The sequence below is a fragment of the Homo sapiens genome, chromosome 6, assembly GCF_000001405.40.
Source record: "Homo sapiens chromosome 6, GRCh38.p14 Primary Assembly".
NCBI lineage: Eukaryota > Metazoa > Chordata > Mammalia > Primates > Hominidae > Homo > Homo sapiens.
In genome coordinates this window covers 123,913,798-123,935,282 of record NC_000006.12, presented here as the reverse complement: position 1 = coordinate 123,935,282, position 21,485 = coordinate 123,913,798, and the positions used below count along the sequence as shown (strand labels likewise).

General features: G+C 35.8%; 1 protein-coding gene across 9 annotated transcripts in view, besides 1 other annotated feature; it reads right to left on the bottom strand.

Annotated features, from left to right (window-relative positions):
• NKAIN2 (sodium/potassium transporting ATPase interacting 2) overlaps positions 1-21,485 on the bottom strand; it is a 1,021,776-nt gene that overhangs the window by 890,358 nt on the left and 109,933 nt on the right. The gene's annotated exons all lie outside the window — the stretch shown is intronic.
• Positions 17,801-18,650: an enhancer, noted in NCBI's record as "OCT4-NANOG hESC enhancer chr6:124237778-124238627 (GRCh37/hg19 assembly coordinates)". NCBI's record gives its function as "activates a minimal SCP1, AML or CMV promoter by ChIP-STARR-seq in naive H9 embryonic stem cells {active_cell/tissue: H9 hESC(naive)}" and the evidence as "EXISTENCE:reporter gene assay evidence [ECO:0000049][PMID:30033119]".

Genomic DNA, 21,485 nt, shown 5'->3' with positions numbered 1-21,485 from the left:
CCCAAGAAAGATATCTTTGTATAAGGTCACACTACATTGCCACTTGTTTTCACCAAAAAACAAGAAAGATTAAGTAAATATATAAATATATTTATTTATTTAATATATTTATTTTTAAATATATGTATTTAATATATTTTTCAATAAATATATATTTAACATATTTATTTCAATATATATATGAAATATCTATATATTCCAAATATATATATAGAAATATATATATAATATATATTTCAATTATATCTGTTCTTTCTGGCTCCAAATTAAGTTTACAGATGTCAGTCTGATAAAGTTACCTTTTTATTCATTGAAGACAGTTTCTTAATTTTGTTTGAAAATTCTGTCTTTTAGGAAAACTACTCAAACTACTCATTTGGAAAGGGAAAAAATGTAGAAAATAGATTTTACAACTTTTCTAGAGACTTGTAACAGCACAGCTAAGGCATCACATTTCAGATGAATTTTACTAATTTTATTTAAATTTCAGAAATTAAATAATTTTAAAAGCACTGTCACGGTGACTGGCCAAAAATACATTTTGAATGTAAATTCCTTCCTGAAAAGTACTGTGGTCCAATCAAATTAGGAAATAGAAGCCAGCTTATTTTTTAGAGTTATTTATTCCTTAAGATTTTCTAGGAACTATCATAACTCTTAGATCCTAGCATGGCCATTTTAAGCCTCAACAGAATACCAAGTACTAAAGAAACCCTGAGTCTAGTGAGGAAGAAAGAACATGCACATAAAAGAATAAGTAATGGCACACTACAGAATAATGTGCATAAAATAAATGGCTAGAACCTAAGTCCTATAAAAACTGAGGAAAAGGAGGATTCACTGTGGGCTGGAGTAGTGGGGGAAGGTTTTAGAGAGGACTTAGGCTTTGATATGTGTTTAAGAGAAATGATAGCATAATTCCCATAAGTAGTAAGGAGAGAATGAGCACTGAGATTGAGGATAATGGCATGAGCATCACAGGGTGGACCAAAACACAAAATATAACCAGAGACATCAAATAATTCTATGGAGTCATAGGCAAGGGCTCAAAGTAGACAGTAATGTGATAAAATTAAGCAAGTAGTTAAGGAATTGATTATAAAGATCTTCTAATGCTAGCCTAAGAGATTACAGACTTTTATATCAGCTCATAAAATCACTTGTGAAGTTGTTGCAGTAGTTGTTGTTGATTTCAGATACATATGTCTAGACCCCTCCCTGGAGACTGTGATTAACAGAGGCTGAGGCTGGAGACTATTTTTTAAAGGATCCATACAAACAGTAGTGGCTTCATGGGCATTCAGACTGTGCCATCTCCCAAAGCCCCATGTTTGGCTTAATACTCTCCTGTAGCTGTCATGAAATTCTTAATAATTTTATCAGTAATTTTGTCTGCTGCCATTCCTTCTTACTCCATTCACATGTAGAGTACAAAATGACCCGTGAGCACTGAATTCCAGGGAGCTCAAAATAAGTGGGAGTTCAGCAAGACTCAAAGTGAGTACAAGGTAAGGGCTACGCCTATGACTGGGTAAATGGGGGTGCTGACAGCCCCCAAAAGGCCAAGCTTTCTGCTTGAACCAGAATTGCTTTGAGGGTAGAAAGGAAGCAATGGCATTCTAGGTGATAGAAATGACCAAAGAACCTTGTCATATCCTTTCTTGCTCACGCTACTTTTCTGTATTAGCCAACTGAAAATAACAGAGAAGGAAAGAGAAAGACAAAGGAACCCGTAGTTTCTTTGCTTTTCAGTCTTCTTTATTCATCTGTAAGATAAGTTAAACTGTTGGTAAATGAGACCAAAGCAAAAAGTTAAATCAGTTGAGATAGTTTTGTGCCACATTTCCACTGTTCTGACAAGAGAGAAATATATATGTACATATAAGCTACAAACTATATACTGTGTAACATTACTGTTTATGCAAATAAGTTAAATGGTCTTATTTGCATTTAGAATGGTCACTGCAAAATATAGAGATGAACAGTAAAATATATGTTAACAATTTAAAATTTAAATTTTTCTTAATGCAACATTAAATACAAATTTGAAATAAAACATCATGACAAGTTGAGTGAAAGGCCATGGAAAATCAGGAAAGTTTAAATTTTCTAGTTCCTTTAATGATACTTTTTTCTGCTTTTGAACAAGGGGTCCCATATTTTCATTCTTCACTGGGCCCTGCAAATTATGCAGCTGGCCCTGACAGATAATTGCGATGATCAGGGCTAAGAATTGCTGATGTTGGTAACAGACAGACAGTAAAGTATTTTGAGGAGATAGGTATGTCGTGGGGTTTAATTCATAGAGGCCTGATGGAAGTAAGTAAAATAAATGTAGGGAGATCTGTTGGAAATGTTCATAGCAGACTGGTGAGGAATGAAGACCTTCACCAGAGTGGTGCAAAGGGAAGACAGGAGAAAGAAAATAATCAGAGGAAAAGAAAATCTAATGAAAGCACTGGTGATGCAAAATGAAAGGAAAATGAAAGGGAGAAATTAAAAAAAAAAAAAAGTCCCCAAACGTTAAAACCTCGATGACTGGCTAACAATGCTATCAAGAAAGAAAGGCTGGGCGCGGTGGCTCACGCCTGTAATCCCAGCACTTTGGGAGGCCGAGGCGGGCAGATCACAAGGTCAGGAGATCGGGACCATCCTGGCTAACACGGTGAAACCCCGTCTCTACTAAAAAATAGAAAAAATTAGCCGGGCAGGTTGGCGGACACCTGTAGTCCCAGCTACTCAGGAGGCTGAGGCAGGAGAATGGCGTGAACCCGGGAGGCGGAGCTTGCAGTGAGCCAAGATTGCACCACTGCACTCCAGCCTGGGCAAAAGAACAAGACTCTTTCTCAAAAAAAAAAAAAAAAAAAAAAAAAAAAGAAAGACAGAAAAGGCCAAACTTCTCTACTCCACACATGTTGATTTGTAAATGGAACAGAGTCATTGAAGAGTAATTCTTCATTGACCTACTGGATGCTGCAGGAGAAGTGAATGGAAATCTGGCTGTCATTATGGACATTGAGGGTCTCACTGGAATTAAATAAAATCTCTGAAGGAAAGAGAAGAGAGAGAAGGCAAGTCACAAATGCCTAAGTCTTAATCACTTACCAAAGCTTAGGAAGCCGGGGGAAAAGAGCAGCCAGTACTTGTGATGGAGATGGAGCAGCCAAACTTATGCAGAGAGCTATGACAGCAACCCTCAGGGAGGGTAAGCTGGAAGATAACGCATTTAAGAAACGAGTAGAATACTGTTGTATGCCACAAAGCAGAGAGTGAAAAATGATAAAAGTGTTTTGAATTTTTAAGTATATATTCTTGAGTGACCTTGGAGGAAGCAATTTCAGGAGAGTAGCTTTTCAGATATTGTCAAACTAGAGAGTTTCAAGATTGAGTGGGTGATGATAAAATGAAGGCTGCAAGGGTACTGCTCATTTTTAAGATGTGCATTGGTTGGGCAGAGTGAAGTAATATAGAAGAGAGGTGAGTAGGGTTAGTAGATCAAATGAAATTTATTCAAGATAAATGAAAAAACATTTAAAATGAGTATTTATGTTTTTATTGTTCTCTTACTTTTTAGATTATTTTCATAGACTACCTAAAATCCTTTGACTATTCAAAGGACAGATAAATGAATGGAAGAAAGGATGAAAGAAAAAAAATGATGAAGCATGAAGAAATGTATAGTCTCTTATTTATCCAATATTACTCATCTGCTATGTGCATGGTACAATGAGAGAAAATAAGGATAAAAAATACATGTGCTGCCCTCAGTGAGTTTAGAGTAGGGGATATACTTACAGTTCCACTGTTAACTATCAAGCAGAATCCAGCAAATATCATAATAAAATGAAGAAATAAATAAGCCAAATCTTTATTTTTATTTCTTAACTTTCAAGAGTACCACATACATTTTTCAGTGGAGAGTAAGAAATGGAAGAATCTGGAAAGGTTACTCAGGGACAGTGTCAGAAAGGGTAAAAAAAGGGACCAAGAATTAAATACTGATACCGCTTCCTCAAAGACCAGCAGGAGAGAGAAAAGAACACAGGAAACTATAGAGCTATGTAAATGAGAAGAAGAGACAATATTGAACTGTTTCAGATGAGGGAACTCAGGCCAGAAAGCTTTGATGGTCTCGGTGAGTTAAGAGGTAACCTCACCTACTGAGAAAGAAGGTAAGAACATCTATGAGAGCCTCTACAAAGAAAAGATCAATAGGACTTCTGACTGACTCCATGTATTTGCACTGCCTGAACACCTGCCCCGCCTTCATCGCAGGCAAAACACAGTTAGTTATTTTTAAGAGCTCATTTTCCTCCTGAAATCACCTGAGATTATGACTGTCCAGAATAATCATCCTTCTTTCTGAATTTCTATTAATCGTATAACTTGTTCCACATTCCCCATATTATTGTACACTCTTCTACTTAGTTCTGTAGTTGTTTTTCATTTAGTCCTACCTGTGCCTGACTAGAGACTCCTCAAGGACAAGGAGGGACATCTTACACTTACTCTGTATCTTTCTAAATGTCTGCAAAGTAGTCTTTCAACAAACATTTCCCTATTGACTGAAGAGGAGGAAGAAGTATTACAAAAACATATCAGGGGAAGATTCCTCTCTCCTCTACTATTCTAGGGGATTTGTTATACTATTAAATTGTGTATCTAATATATAACTTGTACAAAACAAGGTACCATAGCAGTAATGTTTGTAGAATTCAAAATACATACTTCATATTTAAAGGTGATTTTTCATCTCACTAGTTGTCAGGAATTTCCAAAACATTTTCCTTTAACTTATATTCTAGATTACAGGAGCAGAGTCAGGACTAATAACTCCATATGCAGTATAATCAAGAAAGGCAAGATTATCATATGTTCTATCACCAATGCTACTGTTAGTTCTATAAAGACAAAGCAAAGTTGGACAAAAGTAGATTAAATAATTATGTAATCTGAAAAATTCCAACTAAATCCTACTCTGGCTATATCTACACCATAAAATGTACAAACAACTCTAGCTGAAAATGGATTTTTTAAAAAGCCCAATAATTGAAGCTTTGCCCTTAATTATCAGTAAAACAATATCAATTTGCATTTTATTTAAAAGTATAAGCTGGTACTTGGGAATGATTTAAGTGCTGACTGTCATCATTACAGGACTTTCATTTTTATTTTGAAGAGTTGTACATTGGTTTTGTTGTACATTGTACAACACCAACATTGTACAAGACCAAGAGTTGTACATTGGTCTTGGTTTTAAATGTTTCATGGACTGAAATTATTGAGGCTGCTGATTTCTATTTATGGTAAATTCTCACTATAGGTTGAGTATCCATTCTCTGAAAATTTGAAATCCAAAATGCTCCAAAATCTGAATTTTTTGAGTGCCCACATGATGTTCAAAGGAAATGCTCATTGGAACATTTTGGATTTCGAATTTTTGGATTAGGGATGCTCAGCTGGGTAATATAATGCAAACATTCCCCTAAAAAAATCTGAAATCTGAAATACTTCTGGTCCCCAGCATTTCAGATAAGGGATACTGAAATGTAAAACCCCAAAGATTGAGAACTACAACATGATGTTTGCTCTACGTATTATGGTGAGTGATGCACCTTTTCACTATGCCAACTGGAAAAACTACAGTATATTCAAAGTAATAGTAATGTAAATACTTCATAATAGATTTATCATTTAGGCTGCCTGTTATCGGTGTCTCAGAACATTGACTTGGTTTAAGCATGAACATGCAAAAAGTTAGATTTTCTTTTCTTTTAATTTGCCCTGAGCTACTGTGTAAGGCAGTCTCAAAAAAAGATATGAAACAGAGTCATTTCATCTCTTTCTGATTTCTGCATAGAATGCCAGATCTGGAATAAACTTTGGAAATCACAGACAAATCTTCTTTCTCCTCTGTGAGAAGAGGTAGGAAGAGAGACTCAGGGAGGTTGAGTATTTATCCCAGGACACCCATCCAAAAAGCCATGGCAACAATTTATAACTGACCTGTTCTAGATCCTTTTTCACTGAGCATATCAATCATGCAGTTACTAATTTATTAACATTATTTGCTGAAGTATAAAACACAAAATTCAATTATTTATCACAATATATACATGCAACTAATAAATCAATAAATGAAACACAGTCAGTACATCAGAACCTCATCTTCATTATCCTTCCTGGTTACTACCCTTTCCTTCATCTCCCAAGGAAACCACAATCCTAATTTCTAACATAGGATGGAACATAACCCAGGTAGGAACATGTAGTGTGGAGTTTTTTAATGTTTCTGCTCTTTTTGGTGGAGGACATATTTATCCAAGTTATTTCATTAAGCTATAGTTTGTTCATTTCTATAACTGTACAGAATTCTATTGCATTAATACACCACAATCTATCCATTATAATATTGATAGAAATTTGTGCTTCATTCCTCATTCTTCAGCTGCTATAAACAATGTTGCCATGGACGTTTTCATCCATGACTCTGGGCACACATGCTGATGCATTTATGTCTGATATATGACTAGAAATGAAATTACTGATTCATACAGTAGACTATGTAAACACTGCCAGATTGTTTTTACAAAGTGGTTAAACAATTCACTCTTCTACTAGAAATATTTAAGAGAATATTCTTAGATCTTTAAAGAGGCATGTATTGCATACCTACTATATTCCAGAAACCATGTTAACTTCTGAGGCTGAAAATAGGCTAAGAAATAGAATTTTCTCTGGAGGACTTTTTGTCCAAATAGAGGTGAGAAATAAATAACCAAATAAATGTAAAAGACGCAATCCAGTGTCTACATCATTATCTATACAACATAAAGGATCGTCACACTTTATTTCATTTTTTAAAATTTTCAACTTTTATTTTAGATTCAGGGGGTATATGTGCAGGCTTACCAAATGGGTATATTGTATGATGCTGAGGTTTAGGGTACAATTGATTCCATCACCCAGGCAGTGAGCATAGTACCCAATAGATAGTTTTTCAGTCCTTGCACTCACCTCACATTGTTTCCTCTAGTAGTTCCCCGTGTCTGCTGTTCTCATCTTTATGTCCATGAGTACTCAATGTTTAGCTCCCACTGGTAAGTGAGAACATGCAGTATTTGGTTTTTTGTTTCTGCATTAGTAATGGCTTAGGATAATGGCTTTCAGCTGCATTTATGTTTCCACTACAGGACATTATTCTGTGCTTTTTTGTGGCTGCATAGTATGCCATGGTATATATGTACCACTAGTTTCCCCCGAAACTCATTATCTCTTTTTCCTTTTAGTTATGAAACCAACCAAGCTTGAACTGGGCTCATGGTTCTTTATTAATAATCAATGAGTACACTTCCCAGCCACCACTGTAGGTAGATCTGACCAGGACATCAAGTTCTGAACAATGGAATCTGGACAGAAGTTACATCTGCAAGTTACAGGTCATAGAACCTTAATATGAATAGTTGGACCCTCCTCCTTCTCCTCCCCTCTTACTAACTGAAAAGGGAATGTAGCATTGAAGACACATGTTTGCCATGTGAACAATGGCAATATATCCAAGAATAGCAGAACTACAAGACTGAAGAAGCATCTTGTAGAATACAATTGCTCTATCCCCCTGTATAGGACTGTTTGGGACGGTCACTAGAGAAATAAGCACCTTTCTTGTTTAAGCCACTTTCTCTTTTGGTCTGTTAAAACAACTTAAGTTATATCCTAACATATGGAAGCTAGAATTGGAGGCATCGGACATATTCCAGCAATCCAGGGACCAGCTTATAGTTTTAATTCCCCTACGATGGCAGTAGAGGTTATCTCTAATGCCAGAATATAAGATAAGCAGTATATCTACAGAAAGATATTTGCTATTCTTGGAGAAGGTTTCATTGACTAACATGAGGCTTTTTGGTTATCACCATTCTGCCAAGATATGGAATTCCTAGGAACAAAACAGAATGTTTATATGAAAAATTAAGAAATATTAATTAGAAGCATGAGACTACAAAAAACTTAGTGGCTTAAAGAAAAAGATTCTACTTTGCTTCCATAAAATCATACCAAGGTAAAGATTAAATACTGATGGGGACAGCTCCATCCCATTTAGTTACTAAGGGATTTAAATTGCTCCCACTGTCATCTTCTCCATGGCCACATGGTTGCCTTGGATTCCAGTCAGTAGGAAGCAAATGCGGGAAAATATACCTGATGTCTCAGCTTATAACCCCAGAGGTGTAACACAGCACTTTCTCTCATTTCATTATCAGCAAGTTAATTATATTGCCATATCTTAACTGTAAAGAATCCCTAGCCTTGCCTTGTTCCTAGGAAGAAGAATAAAGTAGATTTTGGTAGACTTAGCAGCAGCTTCTTCCAAATTAAGATAAATGAGGAGTCCAAGAAAGGGGAAAAATGAATATCAAAAATTAATTTGGGTCAGGTTATGAAGGACTTTAAACACTAAGTGACCATACAAACTGTTTAAGCAGTAAGGTTACAACTAATCTGGTTGCATGTCCAAAGGTTGACTAGAGATGAACCAGTGGTAAGGAGAGCTCTTAGCAGACTACTCATTTAGATAAGGAAAATATTAACACAGTCTGAAAAAACCAATGACTATTAAAATCAAGATGAGGGGGAGCAAAACTTATGCAATATCTCTAGAGAGAATGAAAAGAGTGTTGCGAGGCAGGTGGGGAGAAGAAAAGTAGCGCTGCAGCAGGAATCTGGAAAACACTGCAGCGGGCATCTGGGGAACACTGCAGCGGGCATCTGGGGAACACTGCAGTAGGAATCTGGGGAACACTGCAGCAGCAATCTGGGGAACGGAGCAGTGGGCATCTGGGGAACACTGCAGCGGGAATCTGGGGAACACTGCCACAGGAATCTGCAGAAGTGAAGACTTAGGTTTAAGACAGGGTACTTAAAGGTAAATGTGGATTATTCAAGTAGTAGTGTCCAGAAGACAGCTGTAAATATTTTCCTGATATCCACAAAGACTTGGAGCTGGTGATTCATAGAGCTGTGGTTACAATCATTAGCATACCTGAGAAGAACAGAGCAAAAAGCAGAGAGAATGAAGGATTATTCACTGTTTGTGACCCCCTCCTCCCAAATTCATATGTTGAAATCTCATCAACAATGTAATGATATTAGGCTGTTGGCTTCTGAGAGATGAGTAGGCCATGAGGTTATAGCCCTTATGGATTGGATTAGTGCCTTTAGACAAGAGACCACAAAGAGCTAGCTAGTCCCTTCCACCATGTGAGGACACAGTGAGAAGGCACCATCTATGAACCAGAAAGTAAGCCCTCAACAGACACCGAATCTGTCAGCACCTTGATCCTGGACTTCTCATCCACCAGAATTATATTAAATTCATTTATGTTGTTTATATAAGCTATCTAGTTTATGGTACTTTGTTATAGCAACCTGAACAAATTAAGACAAATAAATAATATGTGAAATGCCAGGTCTTGGAAGAAGAGCAAAAAGAAAAATCAGTGAGGAAAACTAAGGGATCAGTTGGAGACTTTCAAAGACAATGTAGAAATGTTATGAGCAGAATGAAGTTCACCAAAAAGTCCCCTGCACCCTCAATAATGTAGTCAGAGTAACGATTTCAGAACTATTTCACATGCAGACCTAACCAAAGCAACATACACTAGTTTGTGTTTCATCATGAAATGACTGTTTTTTTAAATTACAGAGGACAACTTGTAGTGTAATGTATAACAAAACAGGGAAGTGGTGTGGCTTATACATGAATGATTCACACAGCTATGAAACAAAAGCCAAACCCCCTTCACAAATCAGTCAGAGTCTATTCATAAGCAGGTTTTAACAGATACCCAGGAGGCAAGTGCAAATTGAAAACAGTTCTAGTCAAATCCACTTTGTTTTATAGCCCTTGGACATTTCAAAAATACTGCTAGTGTTTCCAGATCCAGTGCCTTTTTATTTGGAGCTTAATCCTGAGGTCCTTTCCTTGAATAGAAATTATTTATACACAATGTTTTATATTCAAACTTAGCATTGGGTATAAAAAACACAAGCTATTTTACTTCTTTTTACTGCAGGTCATATTTTTCACTCATTTAACAAATATACACTATACTTATGAAGAAAATGTGTACTTCATATAAGCACATTCATTGTAGTACCTATAATAGAAACCATGGCCACTTGGACAAGTAATTCAAGCAACAAAAAAAATTCCATTCTGGATGAAAAGTAGCTGAAATATTGTATTCTGGTACATAAACACGTTTTTGGTTTTAGTTATATTTTTTCAATTATAAAATACACAAAATAATATAATCATGATATTTTATTCAAACATGTAACCAAACATAAGCATGTGTGTGCCTATATTTTATATGTATATATAATATTACAAATACTTATAAGGATCTCACACATTATCTCCTAGTTTCATTCTTGACATCTGAAGGGAAAGCAAAACTATTTCCTCCATTTTGTGAATTTACACAGGAAATAATTCCTGTAAAATAATAATGATATCATGAAATTATATTATAGTTAAAATTTAGGGCTAGGAAGAATTTTTAGATATCATTGAGTCCAGTCCACTCGTTACATAGATGAAGAAATGGAGCCACAGAAAGCTGAACTGAACGATCCAGGTCTTTTTAGTCCCATCCCTGTTCTCTTTCTACTGTAATTCTAAACTTCTATTATAGTAAAAAATAAGTCCATGGGCCATAAATTCTGCAGAAGAATACAAATTCCACAGAATAGCTTATAAACATATAATTCTGTATAGATTATAAAGCTATGATCTCTACCATAAAATTCATGAGGTGTGATAATAGAAAGATTCTTTCTTTGTTACAGATGAGGAAACTGAGGTTTAGAATAGCTAAATGATTTAAAGTCACACAAATCGTGAATTCCAAATTGTTTCTAACATTCTATACATATATATGTGAGATTTGAAATTAAAATGGCTGCTTATACCAGCGAACTGTGGAACTGAAATCAGGGCAGAGACCAAAGACTCACCGGCATTACTGCCACCCAGATGGAATTTTACTAGGTGAGTTGTGCTTACTTTCAGACTGTCCTCAGAAGTGATATCACCTACCCAATAGGCTAAATAATTGCCAAATGCATTTCTTCAATTCAACTGAAAAGAATAGAAAATTCTTTGACAATAAAATTTTAAATTTCTAAAACTATAGTTAATATTAGGTACTTCTATATTTAAACCATTAAAATATTATTCATATTTTTAAAGATTCCTAATATTGAAATTCAACATGTTACCTGCTTTGCCAAAATCCTTTTTTTAATTTTTTTAATTTTTTTTATTTTTATTATTATTATACTTTAAGTTTTAGGGTACATGTGCACATTGTGCAGGTTAGTTACATACATATACATGTGCCATGCTGGTGTGCTGCACCCACTAACTCGTCATCTAGCATTAGGTATATCTCCCAATGCTATCCCTCCCCCCTCCCCCCACCCCACAACAGTCCCCAGAATGTGATGTTCCCCTTCCTGTGTCCATGTGATCTCATTGTTCAATTCCCACCTATGAGTGAGAATATGCGGTGTTTGGTTTTTTGTTCTTGCGATAGTTTACTGAGAATAATGGTTTCCAATTTCATCCATGTCCCTACAAAGGACATGAACTCATCATTTTTTATGGCTGCATAGTATTCCATGGTGTATATGTGCCACACTTTCTTAATCCAGTCTATCATTGTTGGACATTTGGGTTGGTTCCAAGTCTTTGCTATTGTGAATAGTGCCAAAATTCTTTCAAATTATGGTCAGATGTATAAGGATATGTCTTTCCACCATGAATGGACATTACAAATCCCATGCCTCTGCGAAATGCAACAAAGGCTTTCTTTACAAACTCTAATATAATCAATCCCCCACTCCTGCCAAAAAAAAAAAGCTTATAGTGAAAAGTTACAGATGTCAACTTTAATACAAACTAAACAAACCATCAAACCATTCATAGAATATTTTGTCAGAATTATCTGCTTTAATTTCATTCACAAGCAAAATAAGTGAGTGAAGTCAATAAGTTGTTTCCTCAAAGTAATATGGTAGCTGGCATTACCATGGCTATTTACATGTTTTAGGTGTTTGTGGGTTTTTTTTGTCTTTTTTTTGTTTTTTTTGGTAATCCCTTGAAAAACTCTATGAAGTAGTTACTATTACAGGCCCCAGTAACAGAAGAAGAAAATGAAATGCAAGGAAGTTAAACAACTTGCCTGAGCTTACTCCACAGCAGTCTGACTCTAGAGCCCACAAATGTAACTACAAAGCTGTAACTCCTCTCAAGTTATATACTAGCTACAAAAATAATTACATGTATTTCATCTGAAATTCACAGTAACCTGCGTGAGTTCTAATGACAGCACAGTAACTTTCCCCATGTTAAAAATTAAAAAGTAAATTATGTTTTATCTTTCAATAAAGTAAGAAGAGGCCAATTCATTAAAATATTAGCTTTCTAATTACCTCCTACCTCTTATATCCAATACATATACAAGGAAACAACTGAGAAATATAACTGAGCAAACAATGGAGACACCAAGATTCCTTTGTAAGTACAATCCATGCACATTGAGAAAATTGAGTCCCATCGACCCTCAGCCAGACACTATATTTTATAACTGTTGCACATAATTCTAAAATTTGGGTTGCCCTTTCCCCACCCCAAAACTGACCAAAATCTATATACAGGGAAATGCTAGAATTAGGCAAGCAACAAAAAGAAGACTGAAAAAGTTATAAGAAACTTACAATATTCATCTAAAAGTTTACTGTCCATGTGATTTTCACATCAGGACAGATTTCTATAAGAATAAATAGGCACCAAGAAGTTATTACAACCCAACAGAATTTTCATATGTAAAACATTTCATTCCCCAATAGTTCACAGCACATACAGATGAAACTTAATCCAGGTGAGGATTTATTTTCAATACAAGCTCTCCAATTCTCATTTCCATAGATATTTCCTTCTTAGAGGCTACATAGCATTAATTTAAAAATAAAATAATGCTCAATAGCTGAGAAGTTTAGAAACTTGCTTAACTATTTAAATAAGTTGCCTATCAACCAAAAATACTGGTTTTTTGAATAACGACTCTTCTGAGAAATGGAAGAACATTTGGCTGCTGGACAAGTGTTCTGATTTTTAGAAAAGGAAACATTTAGACATGTGTCTCTCTAATGAAGAATGTAAGGTCAGAAATCCTGAGCTAAATTAATGGGCACAGCATCGTAGTCATACACCTTGAAATAAAAATGCTGAACAATTTATCACTCTCTAAAGTTCATCAACATTAGGCATTTTTTTTTTTTTGGAGACAGAGTCTCACTCTGTTGCCCGGGCTGGAGTGCAGTGGTGCAATCTCAGCTCACTGCAAGCTCCGCCTCCTTGGTTCATGCCATTCTCCTGCCTCAGCCTCCTGAGTAGCGGCAAATTTTTAAAACACAAAATAATAGAATGGTGGTCACAAAGTGCTAACACCAGTTTTTGAGTTTCTCATAAGTGATGTACACTATATGTTCTCCTGAAGCCATATCATAATTAATGAAATAAGAAATGCTTTTCCTTTAATTAAATATCTCCAATGGTCATCTTCTTTCCATTTGACAGTTGAATGCAAGTAGAAGAGAGAGACCAGAACAGTGAAAAACACAGAATTACGCCCTCTGAGTAATGAACGCTAAAACAACTTCAGGACTACAGGACTTCCAATATTTGAAGGAATTTCATATGGAAGAAGAAAGAGTTAGATACATTGAACATCTGGCACAATGCCTAATACGTTATAGGTACTCGTTAAATATTTACTCTATGACTGAGGGAATGAATAAATTAATGCACAAATCATTTGCTGATTATTTCCAGAGCCAGAAAATTATTCCAGAATCACAGAATTTAGTTTAAGCTATAGTAAGGCAGAGTTTTGCTTTAACATATAGTTTATAAATTATAATTGTTCGACAACGGAAAAAGCCTGTCTCTAAAGGCAGAATTTCACTTGGATATCTGAGAAGGGACTGCCTTTCAGATGGGCAAACAAACTGGCTGACTTTTAAAAGTTCCTGTGTTGCTGTGATTTCCTCTTTAAGATTCACTATTGCGTTCTCTCATTTCTCCATTTAGGACAGTAATTTGTGAATTTTCCCTCTGCCTTGATATTCCACTCTTATTTCCATTGTCCACTGTGAGAAAATACTATTACAACAGAATAATTCATCAGGGCTTATTCATTTAATTTTGCCACTCCACCCCACAGTCATATCCCAATTCCTGGTGAACAGGAGTGGAAAAGAACCAAAGTGCTCTTAGATTACAAACAACATCCTTATGTGTGTGCGGGCATGTGTCTGTATGCACGTATTCTTGTCTGACATCTTTTGCAATGATACTAGCACACTTTTTGACTTATGAAGATAATTCTTTGAGTAATGATGCAGATATGATTCATTTCTTGTTTTTGTCCATTACAATCATCTTGATAGATGCAGAGGGCCAATGAAGTCAAAATTTTTGGTCCTATCTGAAGTTGTCACAATTGAACAGATGTAGCCAAAATGTGAATGTAGGTATTATATGGAGACTTGAAGAAGCTAAATTATTCTCCTAATCTTGGCTGTGATATAGTGGACAAAACAATGATGGTGTGGACTGGGTGGCTGGGGTGAAACTGAGAATTAAGAAACCTTAGTTTCAGACCTGACATTTATCATTCTATACTAGATTTCTCACATGGAAAATATGGAAGGGTGGGAGCTATTTAACCTCTCCGCATCCTAGGTTTTTGTGCTTCTGAAAATGAAATAGTAATGAAAATATTTTGTTCATATTGCCACATACAAATAGCAAGTAGCACTAAATCTAAGTATGAGTTTAAAATCCAGGCATAAAGGAGTGTGCACCAAAAATCAGCCCAATTTAAAATCTGTCAGTGCTATAAAGTACCAATTAGAAACCAGGACTCCATTACCAGCATTCTAGAAATAAAGTGCTTATTTTGCCAGCGTTGTTACTGCCACTGATTTCATGTACTTCTTTTAAAACCACTTTGCAAGAACAAACTTATACTCCAGAAATGTATAAAATCTGCATCGCATGGAACAGTACTTACATAAATTTTATTTCATATTGATTTTGTCTTTCCATCATATTCATTGCAAAGCCAAGTCATGAAAAAAAATCAATAACTGAACACTAAGGAGGCACTTTTCATACAAAGGGCCTTCTACTCTTTTGCATATCTGTTTCTTTTACTCTATTTTCTACATTCTTTAATGCTGCAAGTTGAAAAATGCATAACTGAATAAATTAAAGTTAACATTATCCTGCCTTTTGAAAGAGCAAAAACATATTAAGTCCAAGCAGAATCTTTCTTTTTCTTTTTCCTCATGGTAGCCAGGCTCTTTATCAATATCATGGCTTCAGAACATATTATCCCATGGCTGCCATTGAAATGAATGGTACAGCATCCTGTTATGAAAGGCCATTTGATGATTTGGTAGGTGAGAGATTATTAAATCTTGAATTTCAAATGCTGGGGCATTATAAAACTACACACTTCAAATAACCATGGAATCCACTCAAACTATATCTCCTTTAAGGAGATAACACACCATGTAGGTTTCAATGTTCAAGGGTTTTCAGAGGCTTTGAAAACTGAACACCTGCAGTTATTCACACATGAACCTTGCCTTTGCAGTAGAACTATCCCAATGGCACTGTTTGTGAAAATATTATATTTATTAAACAACAGCTAATTACTTTTGGAATTTCACTTCAAAAGATACATTGCAGTTAATAGTAACTGTTCTATATTTAGAAAATAAAAATTTCTTTTCTGTCTTTCAATTAATGTTAAGAATAATATATGCAGTTTTTCTTTGTCTATATTAAATATATTTAATAAACATTTGGGAAAATGTGAAAAATAAACAGCTCTAAACTTTTCTCAAATCTTACGTACACAAACAAAAGAAACCATGCACTTGCTTTTCACATCCTGCCCTGTAGAAGAAAAATGTGCATATGTATATATATGTTTATGATATATGTTACTGATATAAAGAATGTACAGCACACAATTCACAAATAATTATAAAACATACAATATTGTTTATTACAAATTCCCTAAAGCCAATTCATTTGCACATAATTCTTTTGTTGGTTTTTGCCAAGTTCGTATTAAGTCAGGGTTCTCCAGAGAAACATAACCAACAGGATACACATAAATATCTCTGAGAGAGAGAGAGAGACAGAGAGACAGAGAGAGAGAAAGAAGAGTCAGTCAGCTAGCAGAATTTCAATTGCTCAATTTTACAATAAACTTTTAGATAGAATGCAAATGTATTTACTTAGAGTTTTTACCTAGAAGTAAACACGGTTTGTGATTTTAAGCTAAAATTCAAGGAAGCATTCTTGATACATACTTTTATATCTCATTATGTCTAATGAGATATATAGTGAATTACACTTATTCAAAAAACTACATTTGCCTAAAGAGGATGCAGGCATTATAAGGAAGGCCAGTCTTTCTCTAGTAAGGCCTTCAACTGATTGGATGAGGCCCACTCACAGAATGAAGGGTAATCTGATTTACTCAGTCCAGTGATTTAAATATTAATCTCATAAAAACACCTTAACAGAAATATCTAGAATAATGTCTGCTCAAATACCTGGGTGCCATGGACTAGCTTTTTTGACACATAAAATTAACCAACACAGTAGCCACCAACCTGGTTGCAATTGATGAAAAGGGCATTTCTGCCATGCGGTTGATATTTTCTCTTACCTTAAATAACACTAACAGAGTGAAATGAAGGAAATATGTGTCAGAATGTTAACAGTGACATTTTATGCTAAACTGGATAATACTTTTCAAATACTAAGAGAGTATTTCCTCAATTTTTGTGATATTAAACAATGTAAAGCATATAGCTATGTTGTACTTTTAAGTTTAATCTGCATTATTAACAACATGTTCTCCAGTACTATCTCAAGTCTTGCCAATCAGCAAAACGATAAAACATACCCCTATTTGTAATATTTGGTAATTTCCATAATGTAAATACATCTACTATGACTAATTTCAAGCTAACAATATGTCTCTGGAGTGGAGTAGGGATGAAATATGCAATTATATATCCCACAAATACAATAAACAAGAATGTACTCAAGAGCATGGATAGTATTAAAATATAGTCATATAATAAGGACATAATTTTTGAGTATAATCGTTTTCAATATGATCTACTTAATTACAAGTTTATATAATTTCATATTTAACAACGGTGGCTATGTTTAACTCCCAGCTTACAAAAATTCCTAAAATTTTAACAATTAGCTCCTGTAAGCTGGTCCAGCGGCTCCACAAACCACTGCAGTTTACTTTTCCTAAACATTGCTGGCGGATAAAATTTTACAAAGAGAACTTAATTCACTTGGTATTAGGGATTAACATTAATAAAATATAATGAAATCTTCCTGTAATGTGTTCAGCCTTATCAGTTATTAATACTTATTATGAATTCGTCTGTGAGCTCCTCTCCTGAAGGCAGGCTTTGATGAACAGAGTGACAGTATGGGGACATAGGAAGGGATGTAGAAAAGGAATACAAGCGGAAAAGGAAAGGCCCAAGAGCAGAATATCACAGAAGGGCAATGTGCCAAACTGAAAATGCAGGTTACACCTGGCCCTTCATATGTGGCTATACATTGCTACGACATAGTTGCAAATATTGAGAAATTTCAATTGATAAGTTTTACAACAAACTTTTAGACAGAATGTAAGTTTATTTAATGAGCATTTTTGCCTAAACGTACACATTCTGTGGATGGCTTATGACTTCAAGGTAAAATTCAAGGTAGTGTTCTTGACACATACTTTTATACCAACTTCAAAAAAACGGCTTCTTCCTAGAGAAGATGCAAGCATTACAGTCATGACCTAAGGCACACATGAATTTTCCTTGTATGTTATATTTATGCTAATGGAAAAATAAAAAAAAAAACAGATAAAATCCAAGCTCTCTGTTCTTGCTTTCCTTCAATTTATCAAAGTGGTTGTCTCTTTAAAAACTTTAGAGAAAGTTGCAAAGTCTGTCTTCAGAGAAAGGGGTTCTAAGAACACTAATAAAAATGATGGACTTGAAAGTCAAAGGAAAAACAAAAGCTCCACATGTTCTAATTTATGGTGGTGCGCCTATCTTCACACACAGCAGGATGTTAAGCCTTCTGTTGTTCAGGAACATCACAAATTTAAAATGTTTTGAAGAGGACTGACTTTTGACATTGACATCAGGTCTTAACTTTAGAGACCTGAGATAATTAGTTTTAGAAATGTAAAGTTCTCTTGATACAGAGAGAGGTAGGTAGGTAGGTAGGTAGATGACAGATAGGTAGGTAGGTAGGATAGATAGATAAATAGATAGATAGATACATAGATACACAGATACATAGATAGATACATAGATACATAGATAAGATAGATACATAGAGATACACACACACACACACACATATATATCTACATCTCAATTCTCAAACTTCTTGACAGGTTTGGCATCTAAAAATCTGTGAAGGGCATAAAATCTGCTTTCAAATCTCCCACCTTCATATCCACCTTTTCTTTCATCATCTTCTTCGTTCTTCTGCATCTTACATTCATGTTCCCTCCAAAGTATACTGGAGGTAGGGCATGGTGGCTCACACCTGTAATTCCACCACTTGGGAGGCCGAGGCAGGCAGATCCCTTGAGGTCAGGGGTTCAAGGAGAGCCTGGCCAACATGGTAAAACCTCATCTCTACTAAAAATACAAAAAAAATTAGCCAGGTATGATGATGGCTTTAATCCCACCTTTAATCCCACCTACTTGGGAGGCTGAGGCAGGAGAATCGTTTGAACCAGGGAGGTGGAGGTTGCAGTGTGCCGAGATTGCACCACTGCACTCCAGCCTGGGTGACAGAATGAGACTCTGTCTCAATCAATAAAATAAAATATTGGAGTTAACTCAGAACATCCCTAATCACCCCAGTTATACCCAAAATTTCCATTAAAATTCTTTCATGATACCCTCTTATCTCAAAGTGCATGTGCCCTAGATTAACTTATCTTTGTCCTGCACTCTCTACATCCTTATCTTTTCAAATCTCTGTTGTAAAATTTTCTAGAAGTGTTCAGAGATCATCCATACTCTCTGCCCCAGGTAAGTGTTTTGTGTTTTTAAAAAGAGCTTTGGGAAATTAAGCCTCAAGAAATGAACCAATACACTAGTGCATAAAACATTAGGTCCTCAGAAAATCAAAACACCTATGCAGAAAATATGGGTTCTGTGATCAAATAAATTTGGAGGTTGATGTGTTGAAATACATAGAATTAGTTTTTCTCTTTTCAGAACTTTTACTATGACAAGTGTCTATTAAATGTTTATTTAATAAACATTTAGGAAAATGTGAAAAATATACAGCTCTAAACTTTTACCAAATCTTACATACACGGAGACACACAAGAGAATTCGTGCATGTGCTTTTCACATCCTGCCCTGAAGAACTTGTTTATCTACAACTTATAGATCAATTTGAAGTATTTCCCAATCAAAACCAATTGTAGAATTTTCTCTCGTGTATATCTTGGAGTAAGTGCTCCATACGATGTAAATTGCGCCTGAGCAACACACCATAGGAACTAGACTTTGAAACAACGTTGAGTCACTCAGCCTGTCAGTGCCTCTCAAACCAAGTCACATGGATGACTTACCACTCTCTAGGTCATAGGCAATATCAAAGTTAGAAAGTACTATGTGGTGTCCTGCATCCAGGAATAGACAAGAAAGGGAGTTGGGTGGTAAAGTGAGTGGGAGACAGGAATGGTTGTTGTGGGGGAGTGGGCAGACAAAAGTCCTATCAAGATGGCAATCAAGAAATGGTGCCAAAATGGAAGATGATTTCCAGGACTGGAAAAATATCCAAAATAAACGAGGGTGGAAACAGGAGGAGCACATGCCAGCAGTATGAATAGGTTACCTAAATTTTCCTTGGAGAGCTGTTTTTAAAGGATTTGGTGCATATCAGATTTTTGCGTTGAGCAAGAGCTTACACATGGCCCAGTGCTTGGCCCAAACATAATTGTATCACCTCCAATTATATCTCCTAACCTGAGCTGGACACCTCTTCGAGAAGCTGTGAATTTTAAACCTTAGAACACATACAAATTATTTGGAGAACTCTTTAAAAATGCACAGTCTCAGACTGCCACCTTCCCAGAGACTTTGATTCAGTAAATGTGAGGTGGGCTTGGGAATCAAATGCAGGCTCCCTTGTGAGGCAGGCTGATTTAAAACTAACCAACAGAGAGAGAACACATAGAGACTCCAAAAGCATGATCAAGTTCTTTCTAAGTCAGAGCAATTCCACAGGCTTTGTAACTTTGCTTTTAAGTAGAAAATGTGAATCTTTTAAGTTCCCTTTCTCATCTCTTATCCGTATCATAAAATATCTCTACTCTTTTTGCCTTTTCTCTGTGATCTCTGGCTAATGCAGTTAAGGGCAGAGAGAGACCTGAGTGAGACAGCCGGGGTATGAATCCTAGCCCTAAAGCTTGCTAGTGGGTAACATCCAGCAAATCACCAAACCCTCAGTGTCTCAATTGCCTCTTCTGTAAACTGGGAATGATTAGAACTTAGCTTGGAGGGTGTTATGAACTGAAGGTTTGTACGTTGAAGCTCCAACCCTTTGTGTGGCTGTATTTGAAATGGGGCCTCTAAGGAAGTAAGGTTAAATAAAGCCATAATGGTGGGTCCCTGATCTGATAGGATTAGTATCATTATAAGAAGAGACTCCAGAAAGCACTTGTGCTCATTCCTGCACACTCTCTCCTTCTCCCTCCCTCCCTGGCTTCCTCCCGACATGTCTTTTTCCCTCTCTCTCATCTTTTCTCCCTCTTTCTCCCTCCCTCTCTCCCTCTCTCTGACTGTCTCTGTCTCTCTCTGTGTGTCTCTGTCTCTGTCTCTCTGTCTGTCTGTCTGTCTCTCTCTCTCTCGTCATACACAAAGAAGAGGTCTTATGAGCACATAGTGAGAAGACAGTTACTGGTAAGAGAGAAAGAGGGCCCTCACCAGACTAACCATGTAACACTCTCATCTTGGACTTCCAGCCTCCAGAACCTTGAGAAAATAAATTTCTGTTGTTTAAGCCAGCCAGTCTGTGGTATTTTATTATAACATTCCAAGCTGACTAATACAGAGAGCTATTGTAAAGATGAAATGAGGTAATATATGTAAAAGCACATAGAATGGCACCAGGCACATAGTAAATATTAAGTGTTAACAAATACTATATGTTTTGTAAACTCTTCATTTAAAAGATGGGAAGAATTATGATATTAATTATATTGCCTGAGGATTAATCTATAATCATATGAAAAAATCAATATAAAGTTATTTTCTCTTTTCTTTCA